The 18447-nt window shown below is 39.5% G+C and overlaps 1 protein-coding gene and 1 long non-coding RNA gene across 5 annotated transcripts in view; one reads left to right on the top strand and one right to left on the bottom strand.

Annotated features, from left to right (window-relative positions):
* SLC9A9 (solute carrier family 9 member A9) overlaps positions 1-18447 on the top strand; it is a 583247-nt gene that overhangs the window by 493440 nt on the left and 71360 nt on the right. The window lies entirely within an intron of this gene.
* SLC9A9-AS1 (SLC9A9 antisense RNA 1) lies at positions 7958-12783 on the bottom strand. Its single transcript, NR_048544.1, has 4 exons — positions 12745-12783; positions 11415-11679; positions 10435-10562; positions 7958-8043 (listed from the first exon to the last, which is right to left on the bottom strand). It is a non-coding gene; the product is annotated as an SLC9A9 antisense RNA 1 (long non-coding RNA).

The following is an 18447-nucleotide window of genomic DNA, read 5'->3' as shown; positions in this document are numbered from 1 at the left end:
TCTCAGTTATTTTTCTGGAAATTATACTACAGATAGCAATTTTGACTTGATAGAGAAGTGCAGCAATTTTTCTCTTCCACAATGAAAGCAATACAAGCCTTTGATGATAATTATTACTCTTGTACCTTACTGTGATAAAGGAAATCTTTCAATTGCACCTTTCAGGTGAAGCCATGGTGTTTTGTTATTAGCAGTGTGATGTTATACTGAAGATTTCTAGGTCAGTACTGAATCATTTTATTAGGAAAAAAAGAGAAAGAGAAAGAAAAGATGATAGGACTTACAAAAACATATGTATTACCTTAATGCTGCCAGTATTGAATTTAGTTTTAATATTTGTTTCCCATGAAAAAAGAGTATAATGTTTAAATGTTCTTTAATCATTACTTGGTCACTCCTTTTCAATTGTAGGAGCCAAGATATTTGCAGGCTGCCAACAAGCTCATGAGCTACCAGAGACACATTATCAGCATGGGCCATGGCTGCCAGCTTCACATATTACCACCTGCCAGTGAGACACAGTCCTGGGTCTAGCTCGCAGACTGCAGTTATCCAGCATTTGTCTGCATGTGAAGCTATGATAGACATCACACAGAGTGTTGGGCAGACATGTCTCTTCCCTAATTAAGGTTCACTTCACAAGGTAGATGGTGATGATTCTCAATGTATGTCAAACCAACTCATGAGAAAGAGCAGGCAAAGAGATTATTATGCTGGTGGTTAATAGAGGAAAAGCCTGTTGAAGAAATAAATGCTATTCTTCCAGTCATGTGAGAAAGTGTCCATGGAGGAACAGCGATTTCGTAACATGAAATTAAATAATGAGAAGGGAGGAAGAGCTTTCCAAGAATAGGGAGTAACATGGGGAAGGTCCTGTGATGAGTGTGGCATGAATAGATGCGAGAGAGCCTGAATAACCCACCTGAAAAGTACAGAATTACAGGAGAGAGAAAACAGGTGGTCTGGAGGGACAATGAATAAGCCTTTGAAGTCAAGCGTGAAACCCTTATTCCCAGTGCCTAGTGTAATCAGAATTCTCTCTTGTTAATATTTTATACTTTTTTGGTTACTTGGATGGCTAAAGGTAGAGTGATGTGGTACAGGCTAAAGTAGCCTTTAAAGTTTCCTTTCTGTCACAGATCTTATTGCTGTGAGGCTTGGGTTTGGTTTTCATATTTCTTCCCCCAGAAAAATAATTATTCTATTATATTTTATTCAATTATTTTAACTAAATTGAATTTTAATTCTTCTTCCCTAAGGGGAAAAAAGTCTTCTGCCTTCTCCTAAGCCACAGAGATAAAGAAAGAAATGGTGATTGCCCTTAAGATGCCAGCATCCTAATGAGGTAGATTGGTGGCACCAGCCACCAATGCTGAGAGCTATCACAAAGTCCTGAGCAAAAAAGTGTTTTTTTAGTTTGTTCAGGCTGCTATAACAAAATACATTAGACTAGTAGCTTCTAAACAATAGAATTTTATTTATCACAGTTCTGGAAGCTGGGAAGTCCAGGATGAAGATCCCAGCAATGTCCATGTCTGGTGAGGACCCGTTTCCTGATCACAGAATTCACTTTCTTGCTCTATCCTCATGTGGTGGAAGAAAGTAAACAAGCTCTCTTAGGCCTCTTTGATAAGGGCACTAATCCCATTCATGAGGGCAGAACTCGCATTACCTAATCACCTCCCAAAAGCTCCACCTCTTAATGTGATCACCTTGGGAGTCAGGCTTCAACGTGTGAATTTGGAGAGACACAAACATTCAGACCACAGCAAGTGCCATGGAAGCCAGAGAGGGGTATAGCCAACTAAACAGCTTTGGAGAAGCCAGGAAGCCACACTGAAGTGACTTTGGAAGTCGGTGATAAAAGAGTAGGAATCTGTAAGGAGCAGGGTTGAGAGTGTGAAGGACTTTGTGGCAAGGAAACAGCTCAGGCCTGAACAGGGTGCAGAGTGTTCAGAAAATGGTGAAAAGTTCAGGGCAACTAGTGGGAAGTGAAACCAGGGAATTATCATGTGCACAGATTGTGTAGGGACCGCATGTGTCCCGGTTAAGAAAATGGATTTTATTTATTGACAGCAGGAAACCAATGCAGCACTTTAAGCACAGAGCCACAGAGTCCTGTTTGTTATAATGCAGAGAACTGGTGGCTGTATGGAAGCTGATCTAACAGGGAGAAGAATAAATTGAAAATAATCCATGATCCAGGACAGCTGCCCTGCAAAATACCCACCAGTTTTCTGTGTGGATAAAAATGTAGACAAATTGTTTCATTCTACTTTGAAAACTATTTTAGAGCATTCAATGTGTGTTCCCAATATAAATGAGTTAATATAGAAAAGTATCATTTCATTAAGATATTGATTCTTAAATTTCCACTACTGAAAATTATCCAGTGGTGTAATTGTTAGGGCCAGAGTCTACTAGAATGTTTTTTAGCTAAAAAGCCAGATCAGTCTCTAAGCTTGTCTTCTAGTATTTCAGTGGCCTTTTAAATGTAGGGGAAGAAGCATCAGAGAGCTAACCTTTTTCCAAAGGAAACAGACACATCCTGAAACCATTGCCTTTGACATCCCTTGAAGCCATTTCCTTGGAATTCCTTGAAATCTACCAGTGTATTAGGTTTCACTGACCTGTCGCCTATAAACATGGCCAGAAGTGATTTCTAGCTCATGCAGGCTGCTAAGCAAATCTTTCCTTAATCCTTTAACATGTGTTTAATACCTCAAACAGGAAAGACTGTAGCAGCTTTATTTCCTCACTGCCCCTTCCCAGCAACTGCAAACACTTCTTCCCACATCCCTCGCTATGGACTAGCCCTTGGGTTACAGGTGCCAAGCCCTTTGCCGTTCCTTCTACTGGTTCATGTAGACACAGAATTATGCCTGGAATGCCCAAGAGCAGCGAGTGGGTGTCAGTCATGAGGGGTGGCTGACCAAGGCTGACTGTGTGCACTGCAGGCTCTGGGTGCTGAAGGAAGAGAAGTCCCCAGAGTACCCCAGGCAGGTGCCCCACATGGTAAACAACTCTAGCAGTACAAGCTCAGAAGCCTGGTATTTAACTGGATTGGCCAACTTTTTTTCCTTTTTTTCCCCCTTTTCTTAGTCTAAAGTCCTCAGGCCTTCTCTGATCTGAAATATTCAGAAGATGAACATTATGGTAATTGGTAATTGTACAGGCACTTTGCAAACATCAAGTGCTTCATAAAGTTAAAATGATACTAAATTCAGTGACAGCTTTATAGACCTGAAGGCCTTCAGACTCATTTTGCAGATATAAACAAAGAATTTTATTACATTTTTATTATTTTTAAATTCTAGCTGATTTCCTGCTATATTCAAGTTTATGATGAGTACATAAGTCTCTTCTCAGTCCAGAGATATGCCTTATTGAGAAATCTTCCCCACCTCAATCTTTGGCTTCTACAAATCCCACTCTTTGGAAGATATCCCACTGTGGAATGGGTACTCCCCCCCACCATCAACTATTCACCAAGAATCCCTCTCCTTGACCTTCCAACAAACAGAAGTTGATGCTCTCCAGCTGAGACCCTTCCTTCTCGGCCTAGCCTTTGTAAGAACTGTTTGTGTTCCTGTTGGGAACTACAGATTAAATCCCTGATGAACGTACCTATCTTCCTTGCTAGCTCAGTCTTTTGCAAACCTTTGAAAATGTTGTCTAGGCCATTTAGAAGGGACATAATAATATTTAAATCAGGGTTTTTCAAACTGCTGATCATAACTCATTAGTGGTTCTCACAAGCAATTTAGTGGGTTCCTAACCAGCACTTCTTAATAAATAGTAGACTAGAGAAAATATCACAGTGCATTGAGAAATTAGAAGTAAATTTTGTTTCATAAAACTTGTTTCAGGGGTGTGTGCATGTACCCTGGGTTGTGATATAACATGTATGCCTTAATGGGATCATAATCAAAAAGGTTTTAAAACCTTGATCATTGCTGGTATAAAATTCTTGTGTAGGAACCCTCAGGCCTTTCCCCTAATTGCTTTAAGTACCCAGCAAGTTGAGCAGGGAGCTGTGAGAACACAAAGGAGAGAGAGCCCTCAATTCTGGGTTTATTTTGGAAAAGTTAACAGTTGTTGGTAGATTCGAGCTGAACTTTGAGAAAAAGATGGAATTTGACTAATAGCAACTGGAGGGAGCTGGAGTAAAGGCCAGATTACGGGGAGAGAGAAGCAACACGGAGCTGTGGACAGAGCAATGAGTTTGAAGATCTGGCTGCTAGTCATCCCTCAGCCCCTCAGCTATGGAACTCTAGTTCCAGGCCTGCCCTGAGCCACTATTTTCTAATCTGTAAGATGAGTATAATCATATTTGCCCCACAAAGTAACTGTAAATTTCAAATGGAAAAAGGTGAATGAAACCACTTTGAACACTAGAAAATACCAAACAAACACAACAGACGTGTTTTCTTTTTCCAGACAAAGCAAAGGTCACAAGTAAAGGTGCAAATGTGGAAAATTATTGTGTGTGCTTGGGGTTAAGTGAGGATTGCAGCTCGGCACATATAAGGTTGGCCAGGGAGGAGAGACTAACAAGATGTGTTCACGGAAATCTGAAAAGATTTTGAGTATCAGGTGAAGGTGTCTGGATTTGACTCAGTAAATAATGAGGAATCAGATGATTTGTAGACATAAGAGTGACATAGTCTTGTTTTAGAAAGAGCTAACAGCAGTGATTAGGGAGAAGTCACGGGGGCCTCAATTATGGTAGTTGCAATGGGAATAGAAAGGAAAAGTATAGATGCCAGAAAACTCTGGCCTCAAATCCATAGAATCTGATGCCGCATTATTGGGGGTACCAGGACTGCAGAGAGAAAGGGCCAGGCAGGTGCCAGTTGTGAGGAAGTAGGAGCCCCAGGTGACTGTGGGGTTCCAGCCCTCATGACTAGAAGTCTGCTTATGCCAGTCAAAGAAACAAGGAAGGCAGAAAGACTACTCTTGTGGGGAGACAATATGTGTGGTTGGTTCCCTGTCTCCAGGTAGAATCCTATTTATATGAACCTGCTCCATTTACCTACTGAGCCAGTTCTTCGAGGTAAACAAGCCACTTGCCCAGCCTTGCCTCGCGGATGGAGTTCTCTAAACCTCTGAGTGAACTTGTTTTTCTCTGAGTGGCTCTCTCATAGGGGGATGCTCTACAATTAATATCCTACTCAAAAATAGGCAGAATACTTATTTTAGTATTTTGTGCTAATTCAGTCTCATCAACTTGTCTTCTATCTGTAGACTTCACTTAAGTTAACCGCCAGGTTAACTGATGTTATGAATACAACATTGATATACCACATCCTACCAATCAAGTTCAGACTCAATCGCCTGGAACAGCACAGAGCATGAGTCAAATAGCTAGGTTCAGATCTTTGTCACCTACTAGCTGTGTGACACTGGGAAAATTACTTGAACTCTCTGAACCTTGATTTCATAATCTGTAAAATGGGGACAGTGACAATGATAATACCTATCTTGCAGGATGTTTGTGAGATTCACACTATTATACTTACCATACATAGCATAGGGCCTAGAAAAATTAGGTCCTTGATAAAGGGCTGCTCTTGTTATTATTATTAAAGGATGTGAGTTGATGGGCCCCACCCTCCTTTACAACCACATGCTGAAGCTTTTCCCTAGTTCTGTGGGATGAGGCTAGTCCTGGTTCTGTCCAAAGAAAAGAGCTTCCAGGGCTGACCTGGCAGGACCCACCTCTTTAGGAGCAAAAAGATTATCACCATCCCTCTCCTTTCAGGTAAGCACCTTTAAGCCCAGCTACAGGCTCTTCAGGCAAAATTACTTTGTTCCAGCTCAGTGATGGACTGAAAATGCTAAGTGTCCCTCACAAAGAATAAACAGGCAAAGATGGGACTGCTACATGCGTGTTACTCCCGTCTGCCAGTAGCTGGGGGCAGAGAGTTGGAGACTGAGGAACGAATAGGTCCCCATGGCTGTAGTCAGCAGAGACCAGGGGCAGCTGGCTTCCTCCTGCCCCAAGATCAGGGGATTCTTGGGAATCTCAACATGCAGTTGAACCCCAGCAGTCACAAAGCAGCAAGATTAGGAGTCAGAAGTTCTGATTTTGAGCCCAGGCTTTGCAGGCTGCATGAGCTTGAACCAGTCTCTCTAAGCTCCAGTTTCATTTGTAAAGTGAAGGAAATGCCCCTCCTTGTTTTTTAACCACAACAGCAACTCCCCCGTACCCAAAGCGTTCTAGACACAATTTCATGAACTCCTAAGACCTTGACAACCCATGATTCTCATATGGTATTCTCCATGTTTTTTAATAGGCTTGGGAAGTAGAGTTCATTTTTTAGCTTTTCCAACCAAAACTATATTGCACAATGGAAGTGCTTATAACAAAGTATTCTGTAAGAATTTGGCTTTTTATTGGCCAAACAAAAGATACTTTCTTAAAAAAGGAGTATACATTCACTCATGGTTTTATATGAAAAAAAGAGATGCCTAGCCCTCTGTTTTACACTTGGAACCTATTTTCTAGAAATATGGTGCACTTGTCATGGTTTTTATCCTTACAAATTCAACATAATGTAATAGCTCTGTTTGATGGCATATAGTAAATAAAGGTGCTTTCTTAGACTCCCAGGAAGTAAATAATTGGCATATTAACTTCCTGTGATTCAATCACAGAAAGCTTACATGAAAATGAAAGAAATAAATGGAATAAAGTCCAACAGACTGCCATCAATAGCTGCTTAACTTCGGGCCGGGCGCAGTGGCTCACGCCTGTAATCCCAGCACTTTGGGAGGCCAAGGCGGGTGGATCACAAGGTCGAGATCAAGACCATCCTGGCAACATGGTGAAACCCTGTCTCTACTAAAAATACAAAAATTAGCTGGACCTGTAGTCCCAGCTACTCAGGAGGCTGAAGCAGGAGAACAGCTTGAACCTGGGAGGTGGAGGTTGCAGTGAGCGGAGATCGTACCACTGCACTCCAGCCTGGCGACAGAGTAAGATTCCCTCTAAAAAAAAAAAAAAAAATTACTGCTTAACTTCTTATCCAGCTTTCGACTGAGCTGGTTTTACCCTATTTCTGATAGAAACAAGGAAGCAATCTTACCTCACTTATGATATGCCAGAACTCATCTTTTTATGAGATAATTTAAATTGATTGTCACCTTACAAATATATTTTTCTAATGGCATCCCCCGTATCATCTTGGTTTTGGAACAATCCTTTCAAAACAGAATTAGAAATAGCTGCTCACTCACAGATCTATAAAATACATCTCAAGTATTTGGAAGAGAGGGTTGAAAATATAGCTGTCCCAAGTCTATCAGAACAACTGTGGATGAGTGGGGGCAGGGGACAATATTGGTGGTCTTTTTGTTATAGCAAAGGGCAAGAAGCATTTCTCTCTCCTTACAGGTAAGGAAACTGAGGATCAGCAAAGCTAGGACTAAAACCCAGGGCACAGGATTCCCCTATCCGGGTGCCCTTTCCTTACCCTGTGCTTTATAACTCTGGACCTTAAAGAGATGTAGTTCCCATCTAATTTCTGGTTTAGCCAAAAATGCCTGCATTTTCTTATGCCAGATTCTGTTTGGGGGAAGATAGAATTTCATTTTTATTCCTCCATTTATCTGTTTCCTTTGGGTTATCTTCTTGATTTCCCCTTTTATCTTTCTCATCATCCATTTGTTAATGCAAACAAACAAAACTATTTCTGCTTCTTTCCCACAACTGCCATCTGATTAAACTCTACATAAGGTCCCTTCTTTATTAAAGCCCTAAGTAATTGGTTGTGATGCTTGTGACGATTACTGGGCCAATACATGGCTACATTCAATGATGAAATATAGCTAGGATGTTTCTTCTGAGAAAAATTTGACCTGTCATCTCGTAGCCTCACAGATTGGTATATTTTGGAGTTGTAGCCACTGCTTCAGTGTATGTCTCCTACCAGGTCCAAGTTAAGATCGTTGAATTGTTAGATGCTTTTTATTTGAGGCTTACATGGTGAGGAGAAAATAGAAAATTCTATTTCCTTTCATCTGCTTCTCTTTTTCTGTCTGAAAAATAGAGAAAAGTTAGACTTGTTCTTGAGCATATTTATTATTTGATAAAATTGACAAGAGTCATCTGAAAAATTTTGTAGAGTTTGAATACAAAGTTCTTACTATTTCTTCTCTCATTTTCTATATAGTTAGTATTTTATTTCTTTCCCTTTTCATTTTAACCAAACTTTTGGTTTTTGTTTTTTTGAGACGGAGTTTCACTCTTGTTGCCCAGGCTGGAGTGCAATGGCACTATCTCGGCTCACGGCAACCTCCGCCTCCCAGGTTCAAATGATTTTTGTGCCTCACCCTCCCGAGTAGCTGGGATTACAGGTGCCCACCACCACGCCCAGCTAGCTAATTTTTTGTATTTTGAGTAGAGATGGGGTTTCACCATGTTGGCCAAGCTGGTCTCGAACTCCTGACCTCAAGTGATCCCCCCCGACTCAGCCTCCCAAAGTGCTGGGATTACAGGCATGAGCCACTGCACCCAGCCTAACCAAAGGTTTCATAAAAATAATATTAAAATAGAACAGAAAATACGCATACTACAGAAAAAGAAACAAGACTTTAGAATGATTATTTTTAAGCTTATTTTCTGCAACATCAAGAATCAGTTTTCTCTAGCAGTTAGCTCAGCCTTTATTTCATTAAGAATAATGGGAAAATTTAAGGAGGTTTCCATTTGAGTAAAGTTTTGGTTTTCATCCTCTCCCTCCATTGTTTAATCATCTGGACTACAGTTCTTTTTATAGAATAATCTTCTTTTAGCCAAGTGAAAAGGCAAAAGTATTTTTTCCATAGGTTTTTTATGCTGAGAGAGTTTCAACTGGCATATTGGGAGAAATCTATATTCAGGTAAGAATATATATATAAGGCTGGGTTTGTCTGTGCTTGGGCCCTCCTACGAAGTCTAGGGAAGAGGGAATTGTTAAAACTGGACCTAGGTCTCTTTTCCCTTTAGCTTAATTAAAAAAAAAATCTTTGCATTCAGTAGCTTTAAAGAGGACATTTATTTTCCTCCTTCTATAGACAAGCTGTATTAGGGTGGCATATGAATAAATGAGATCCTTCTTTGACCTGATAGGGACTCCAGTTCACTAATGTCTGTCCTTTCTCCACCTTCCTACTTGTTCAGATTGGAATCCATTCTCCACTATTTCCATATCACCCTTGCAAACAGTCTGGATTCCATCATCTTTTTGTTATACCCATCTGGAAAAACCCTAACCAGAGATGAAGGCAACATGTTGCTTTTGGGCACACTATATCTGCATAGATGAGCCCTGTTGGAGAGATTTACACACCTGCAGAGACTGGTTCCCTTATCTATTATTGATCAACAACTTCAGATAGACCCATACTACCCAACTATCCTGCTTTACCTCTCTCATCATTTTTATCCTCAACTGCGCCCAGCCCATTTGCTCTCCTTCTACTCATTCCTCAACCCACTTATCTGGTTTCCATCTCAACAACTTTACTAAAGCAGCTTGTTAGGTCAGCAATGACCACCATATTGCTAAACCAGATGGATATTTTTCAGTTCTCCTCTGATGTGTCTTTTGAGCAACATATATGATACTGTTGATTGCTTCCTCCTTGTAATACTCTTCCCCTTATCTCCCCTAACTCAATACTCTGAATTTCCCCCTACTTTTCTGGCCATTTTCAGGTTCATCTTTCTTTTCCATTCAATGCTGGAATTAATAAAGGTTCTATCCAAGGCCCCCTTCTTTTCTTTGTCTTCTATTTCTAGGTGATTCCATCTGTATACTTGGATTACAATAACATGGAAACAAAAACGAATTTATACTCAAATTTATACTTCAGTCATATAGATGGAACTTATTTGATATTTCCTCTTGTATGACTCAAAGACACAGTCATTATATCCAAAACCAAACTCAGGAGTTATCTTCCAAACCTAATCCATGTTCAGCATTTCCTTCATTCTGTTATGCAAGCAAAAAGCTCAAGATTTTTCCTGGGTCCTCCCTCATCCAGTTATTATGGAAATCATCTTTTACCAGTTTTACTGCTCTCAGAGTTTACATTCATGATAAATACTTCAGAATCTTACGATTGTTTATTATTATTTGGTTGAAAGTTTTTAAAGAACTACATAACACTTTTTTTCCCTCCAACACACCAAAACAAGAAAGAATTATAAATGGGGAAATGATGTAAGTGTAAAATACTGCACAGGGTCAAGTCTTTTTTGAAAAAAACAATTACATGCCAGGAAACATTTTGTTTTTTAAAAGAAAAACCACATTAATGGTAGGCACCATTTCTGTTACCTCCTCAAGGTCAGAGTCACTAAACTACACACAGCTGAGACAGATAAAAGACTGCAAGCAACAGCAAAGAATTTCAAAAGGTCCAAATGGACTAATGCCTTACCTTCTTAGGGACATATATTTCTTACATTTGGTAGAGTTGTAAAAGAGTTTTAAAGTTAATTTTCTCATCATAAAATTTTGTAAATGGGCATCATCATATTGGATTTTTTAAGAGATCTGTAACTTGGCCTGTAAAAGAGGTGTCTCTTAATATATTAGAAAATATTATCTTTAGTTCAAAGCAGAGAGTAATACAGAGTTGGAATGAATATTTTGCCCTATTCTCTTTTAGTCTTGACTGCTTATACACTAGCAAAGAGAAATATATTCCTCTGCAAAGCCTCCTGAGAATACAGAGATATATGCATCAGGATATTGAATTGTTTGAGAAAATAAGAGCTGGATTTTTGCAAATAAACTCTTGCACCCATATGAAAGCTCGGTAGTCATAGAAGCTTTCCCAAATAATATGCCTTCCTCTGCCAATACACAAAGTAACCTTTGTCAGTTAATAATGAGCTAATTGTTAACCTGAACAACAGATGACATCAGAGAAAACTGGCATAAATTATTCCAAAATGAACTGTAAGTGAATCTGTCCACTTAATGAATCTAATTTACATGATTCTTCTCCCTGCTGTTTCCTTTGTAAATAATATTTTATTTAAATAATTGCCAGCCCAAAAGATAGAATCATAATTATTCTGGGAGTTACATGGATTTGATAGGTAAACCACTATTTCAGCCATAACTTGCAAGCTGGTTAGACCATTGATCACTATACCTGGGTGTTAGTTTAGATAGAATATTGCTGAGGTAGTCAGCTCAGTACATTGTTGAGGTCTCAAGAGCACAAAGACTCCTTGTTGGGAAACTCCTGAGACCTAGAACCATGTTTCCAAGGCAGCAGTACTAGGTAAATATTCTAGGTGTATATTCTCTGTCATTTTTAATGTATGAATAGCAGACTAAAAGTGCTGCTTTTTATACCTAACCAGGAATCATCTTTGACACCATCTGAAGAATCAGTGGTAGACTCACCATCTTCAGAGTCCTTCAGCTTCCACTAGACCATTTAATTCATTTTGAGGGGACAAAATAGGGACTCCTGCAGTTTTCTCTCTGTAGTATTTTCTTGCTGAATCCAAGACCACATTAGGAAACCATGCCGTTGATTTTTTCGACTACTGCTTGTGGCAGTTCTTGCCTAGCTGTTGAAAGTTACTTTTTTTCCCCTCTTTACATCTTGGTAGAACATCTTATTCTGAAAATTGACTATCTCTCATCCTCCATTCCCACGCTTTGCCTAGAAAATGAAAAGATGTTTAAAAGAATGCCCTCCTGTTCTTGCCACTACAAAAAAATCAAAACATTTCCTGTCATACACTCACACACAATTAGTCTCCTTAACAATAAAGAGGAAAAGAAGTGGGAAAAAAATATCCATGACCTCTGTTGGTATTAAGTCTATAGGATACACTCAGCAGAGTCAAACCATCTAGCACAATCAAAACCATTATCTCCTCCTCTGGGTGTCTAAACTGCCCATATCAGTCATTTCAGTGAATAAAGAAATAAACAAACACTAGAAAATAGGATAGTTGTAGATTTGAGAAACAGTAAAAGTGTGGTGCTATGTATAGCAATGATATCACTTGTATTATTACAGTCATTTTTATATTACTAGCATTTGGGGATTATATCATCTAGCATTTGAGGTTGTTTTGACAATTTGTTCACATATAGATAAGAAAGAAGGAATGATCTTTTCAAAGAGAGATGCATGGTTAAAAGCGTGGCGCGTGTATATTTGCATGCACATGCACCTGCACCTGAGGTTGAACATGCACCAGATACACCATACCCCACCTGAGTGATTAAATAGATCACTCAATAGGAATTTTTCAGGTCATTTTCAGTTTTCTCAGTCTTTTGAAATAAGGTGATATTTTATGGTGCCCACAGTGGTTTGTGTCTACAAGCATTGCCTAATTTTAAAACCTTAAGTTAATCTTGACAAATCTGGCTATTGGAAGCTGTTTGGCCTTGAAGGTTATTTTATTTGTGAGTCCTGCTCTAGTTGCTACATAGATGGTGGCATTGGGTGGGGTGTTTAAAATCTAAGATAGTCCAATAAATAAACTGAAATACATCAGCAATAAGGTTTATAAGTGACCTCATGAGGAATCATCTAGCTTCTTAGATCAGGGTCTGCTGGTCATAAGGGTGGATCACTTGAGGTCAGCAGTTCAAGATCAGCCTGGCCAATATGGCAAAACCCTGTCTCTACTAAAAATACAAAAATTAGCTCGGTATGGTAGCACATGCCTTGTAATCCTAGCTACTTAGAAGGCTGAGGTAGGAGAATCACCTGAATCCAGGAAGCAGAGGTTGTAGTGAGCCAAGATGGTGCCACTGCACTCCAGCCTGGGTGACAGAGTTAGACACTGTCTCAAAAAAAAATAAGAAGCTCTAATGTTTGTTTCATTGAGAGATCCCTTCCTAAGGGACCCAACAAGCAGCTTCAATGATGGTCAGTAAAGTATGAACCTTATAACCATAGTTTCCACGTTTCCACCTTTGCCTCCTACTGAGGCGGCAGCAGAGCTGGGTCCTGACTGTGATGCGGTATTCCCATAACACAGCTCCACATCCAGAGGTAGTTTCACCCGGAATCAATGAAACTCAGCTTTCAGGGCTCTTCATCTGCATGGGTCCTTTGTAAGGGACCAGTGTTGATATTCAAAAGTGTGCATTCTTTTTATTAAGAATAGCCTCCAAAATTAGGTAACCTTCAGACTTCATGAAATCTGGATCTATCCCCGTCCATGTGAGTAAACACTACAGGGAAAATATGATAAATTAACGGTCTTATCATAATATTAAGTATTACAATAAATTATATGATTGTAAAAAATTTCAGTCCCTAGCACCTATATAACACTGTGTTCTGTATTTGCATATCGGAGTCATTTTGGTAAACAAAATTTTAATTTATTTGAACAGGGTTCGGGAAATCCTCAGGAAGTTTAACTTGCAATTTGGTATCTGAAGCTAATGTTATTCCTCTCCACATTTCTCCTCAAACATTTGGCACAGCTTTTCCTACCGTGGCAAGCAACTTGTCCCATTCTGAAAAGTGTGTTAAATTCACAGATACCCAATAATGATTATTGCAGGGTGTTCTCCAACACGTTTCATCCCTTGGTCTAAATTTACATTGTATGACTATGACCTGGGATGACTCTCTTGCCCTCCCTTGTAACTCAATACAGTTATGAATGGATGATTATTTTTATAAAATCCTACTCTGGAGTTCCCAAATTGACAGGCATTGGAGGCTCCCAAACCGACCCCATCTCAGGTATATATTCTCAAGACCAAAAGTTTATGAAAGCTAAGCCCCCTTAAGCCCCCACTACTCCAAAGGAACTGCAAAACAGCACATGAACAGTGAAAAAGATCCTAAAGAAATTCACCTCCCGATCACACCAAATTAATGCTATCCTGAGATACATCCAGCGAAAGGAATTCATCATATTCCACATAAGTGCCAAAAGACATTTGGACAGACTTTCAGCCTAAAGGATAGTGAGAGGGATAGTCTTAAAAATTTTAAAGATTTCTTTAGAACTTTCTTAGAATTAAGTGTCCTATTCAGCTTAATTGTTCTGCTACCAGCAAAAGTGATAAAGTTCAGGTGATCCTAAATGCAGAAAATATGTGGAAGTGAATAAAGCCTTCTGCACTAATGACTAGCAAATTTCAATAGATTTCCAATCTCTCTTTTTCACATTTCTTGTACCAACTCATTTATATTGTCATTCTAGAAAGAGCACATAAAAGGGTGTCTGGAGATAGATTTCTGGATGTTAAGAGAATCTTTAGTGAGTGGAGATAAGACCTGACCAGGAGACCTTTTATGAGTATATTCAGAAATGTAAACTGATGAATATGGTAAGGGCAAAAACTCAATATGATTGCATCTAAGATAGGATAAGGAGTTAATGCCCCTTTCCAAGAGAAATCTTGAAGACGGTACCAAAGTGAGCCCCAGGAAAGATCTGAACTGAAACCTCTCTAAGAGTCTCTTCAAAGCCTCCACTAGCTATAGAGTGGTTGCAATGGAGAATGATCTTGTTTTCCATTAAGAAATTCCAACTACTCATTAGTACCTGTTTTATTTTTCCCACTATAGCCTCCAGGCCTACCACTGTGCCTGGCACAAAGCAGGTGTTCTAATAAATGTCTAGTTAATGTTGAATCAGCAGGTAATCAAAATAGTCCTTCAGTTAAATGATAGTAAAATCCCGAATGTATTCCTGTGAGAGACTTGCCTTATTTCAGGCTGGTGTTGAGCATTGTCTTTTGACCTCTGCCTACTGTTTTATTTATTTATTTATTTGCTTTTCCTTTAACTTCTGTGGTCTGGTGAGGTTGTGCACAGAATCTGGAACCTAAGACTGTATTAGGCCAGTCAGTCATGAAATTATAGTTTGTTGGCTGACAACAAAGCACAGGGTGCTCAGGAGATGAAGCGTGGTATAATAGTACTGAGGGCTTCTAACATCAGTTTAATCAACCGTGATTCCAAGTCACTTATTATTGTGTTTACAATGTCACGATGCAAAAAGTTCTCGTGTTGTGTTCTCAGTGCTTTTGAGATTTCTCCTATGCATTAGTCTTTGACTTGGTTGCTTTTTTTATGTCAGTTAATACCTTTTGGAAGCCATAATTGTACATAGCACACCCCATCATTCGGGCAGTAGCATCCTTTTACAGAAGGAGTTGTCACTCCCAGAGTTGTATTAATAATTATTTTGAAAAACAGTGAATTGAGCAACAGTTGTTAACATGAACCTAATGATCAGAACTGAATACAACCAAGCTCAGCTTTGGAACAGGAAAAGAAACTATCAGAGTAGACGTGATTATTGAGTATTCCAGAGTATAGCTCTCAACAGTCTGCTCTTTTAGTCATTAACTATTGTTCACCAGCTACTGCAACATTTTTAAATGATGTGGCAATACAATGTGACGGGAAGCCTTAAGAACATCAGGGAAAAGAATCTGAAGAGTAATTTATTTATGTTAAGGAACAACATAGTATGCCAGTGTAGAAGGGGGGGAATGTAACATAAAGAAGATAGCAGGGAAAAGGAATGCTATCTACTGCATAAGAAATGAGCAGCCTGGGATTCAAGCAGAGAAAATCCTCAACCAAGGCTTGAGCTGGGTAGGTAAGCAAGAGAGCCGGAAGCTGCATTTCTTCCTCCAGCCACTCACCTCATATGCAGCTGTGCAAATTGCAATTAATTATGAAAGAAAAAGATGACAGACATTACATACTAGTAGGGAGGGAGGCTCAGGGGCCCTGTCCAAGGGGCCATGCGATGAACCTCCACACCAGGAGGAAGCTCTAATGAGAATATTGTGAGATAGAGCAAAGCAGAATTCCAGGAGACTCACAAATAATTATTGATGTTGATTGCCACCATTGGTGGCAGGTGGTGGCACAAAGAAACCAAAATTCCATCCCTCAAAAGCTGTCAACTGACACAGTGCCTTGTGTAGGAGACAGAAATAAGATTTAAATTATAGCATCTGAAGGGTCCCAGCTTTCTCAACCACTCCTTTGCTGTAATTTACTAATAAATAAGCCAGGAATGCTTATCAGAGAACAGAAGTTAAGAATTTTTCAGTTCACATAACATTCTTTTATGTAATAAGTTAAAGGTGGTGTGATGTTGAGGAACATGGATTCAAAACACATGGGTTCAAACCCCCAGCTCTTTCACTTAAAAACTGAGTGACTTGGGCAAGTAACCTTTTCGTATCTCTGTTTTCTAATATTTAAAATGGGAGAATGTGTCAGGCACCATTCTCACATTCATAACTCTGGTAATACTTTTGAAGCCTGGATATGTAATCCCCAGGCAGCTTTAAGTTGTTTTTAACATAAAGATGATTGATTTGCCCTGGACCATTCTGATTCTTTTCCTCTACCCAGTGGTTGCTGTGGTGAAAACAAGCACCTGTAAGGCCACTGGGGTGCAGTCAGGTGTAGCATTATTTTTAAAGAATGCCTTTTAAGTATATGTATTTATGTCCCAAGATCCGTACATACAATTTTGGTTGGGAATGATTTAATCGGAAATAAATGATTAAACCGAGCTGTCTAGCTCTCTCGCTTACTGCTTTTCTCCCTCCCTCTTTCTCTCCATGGGTTTCATGAAGGTGTTTGTTAAATATAACACTGCTCTGTCTGCTTGTCAGGATTTTCAGTCTGACATAGAGAAATACCAAGACCAAATAAGGCCAAAAATATTTACAATGTCCTTCTCTTTGTCACATTCCTTGTGCAAGCTGAAATATTACAGAAAACACAGTTTATTTTTACTTATAATGAATCCTCTTAAAATGTATTTAGGCACAACTGGGTTGATGGCCATAACACTTTGACATTGCAATCACAATGAGAGCTCTTTTGTTTCTTGAAACTCCCTGAGACCACTGTGATAACGGAGCCAGTTTTTCAGCCTGGTACAAGAAGTACACATTCTGTATCTCTCCAAAGATATGTGAGTATATGTTTGAATAGGGCTTTTAATTTAAAGAGACATGCATGTTCATCTCTTATACACAAAAGTCACTTAATTAGCATTCAGGGATCCCTCCTTTCTTCTTTTACCTTTTTCCTCAAGGACAGAATAGCTAAAAGCATGTTACTCTCCACTGTGGGACCATGACTGGTGCCACTCCAGCTCTGACAAGAAAGAACCCAGGCAGATGCTCTTCCACCAACAAAGGACACAAGTCTAGGAAGAAAGGGATCTGGGCACAAGGCCAAAGTCACCATAGGCTACAGATTCCCCTTCCCTGTCTTTGGTTCCCCCAAGAACCTGCATCAAGGTTTGCCAAGCTGCTTCTAAAGTGGTGGTTTCCAAGTGTGGAAGCAGTTCAGAATCCCCTGGGGCACTTGTTTAGAGTTCACTTCACTGGCACTAAAGATTGGGATTCCAGCAGCCTGCGGTTAAGGCCAAGGGAGCCATATGTTTCTCCAGCGTCCCAGGGGATTCTGCTACAGCAGGTCATCAGGAAAGCTCTGGGAAAGTCCACAGTCCTGTGAAGGAGCTGCTCTGCCAGATTCAAGTAGAGCCTGACTGCATCAGGGGACATGTGAATGATCAGATCCAGTCAAGGAACAAGCAAGAGGAGTGAAGGAGTTATCCTTAACTCTTTGGAAGTAGGCAGTTTCATCACTGATTTCAGCTGATGTTTCCTATCAGGTGACATACGGGTAGAGTACACATGACAAAATACAATTTAGAGAAGGCTATAAATGCCTCGGAAAATCCACAGTGGCCAGTTCTGAATGAGGGTGGGGGGTGGAAGGAGGGAAGCTTCTGATCTCTCTGAGGCTGAAAATTCAATTCAAGGGAGAGAAAAGCCAGTTATATCCTTGGTATTGAGCAAGCAATTTAATAGCTCTTTGCTCATGGTAGGGACTCAAGTATTTATTAATAAAATTATAATATTCTCTCCCATACTATCCATAAATAGTTTCCTTTAAAATATATAGATTAGCTATAGTTTAGTCATCCAATTTGGAATAATTTGGAGTTTTACAAATAAAAGGAACTGTGTAGCAAACCATGGTCCCTGCCATAACAATGTGCTCCTTGTGTCAATTTTCCAGATAACTGAAGCTAATACTTTAAGATTTTCTGTATTTTAAAAAATTTTTTTAAATATTAATGTAGTAAAAAGCACGTAAAAATTACCACCTTCGCATTTTTAAGTATACAGTTCAATAGTGTCAATTATATTCACATTGTTGTAAAACCGATCTCTAGAACTTTTTTATCCTGTAAAACTGAAACTCTATACCCATTGAACAATTCCCCATTTCCCCCTACCCTAACCCCTGGCAACCACCAACCTGCTTTCAGTTAATTCGACTACTTTAAATAGCTCATATAAGTGGTTATTATGCAGTATTTGTCTTTTTGAGACTGGCTGATTTCATTTAGAATAATGTCCTTAAGCTTCATCTATGTTGTAGCATGTGACA

This window comes from Homo sapiens, chromosome 3 (assembly GCF_000001405.40).
Source record: "Homo sapiens chromosome 3, GRCh38.p14 Primary Assembly".
NCBI classification, from domain to species: domain Eukaryota; kingdom Metazoa; phylum Chordata; class Mammalia; order Primates; family Hominidae; genus Homo; species Homo sapiens.
This window is presented reverse-complemented; position numbering and strand designations above follow the sequence as displayed.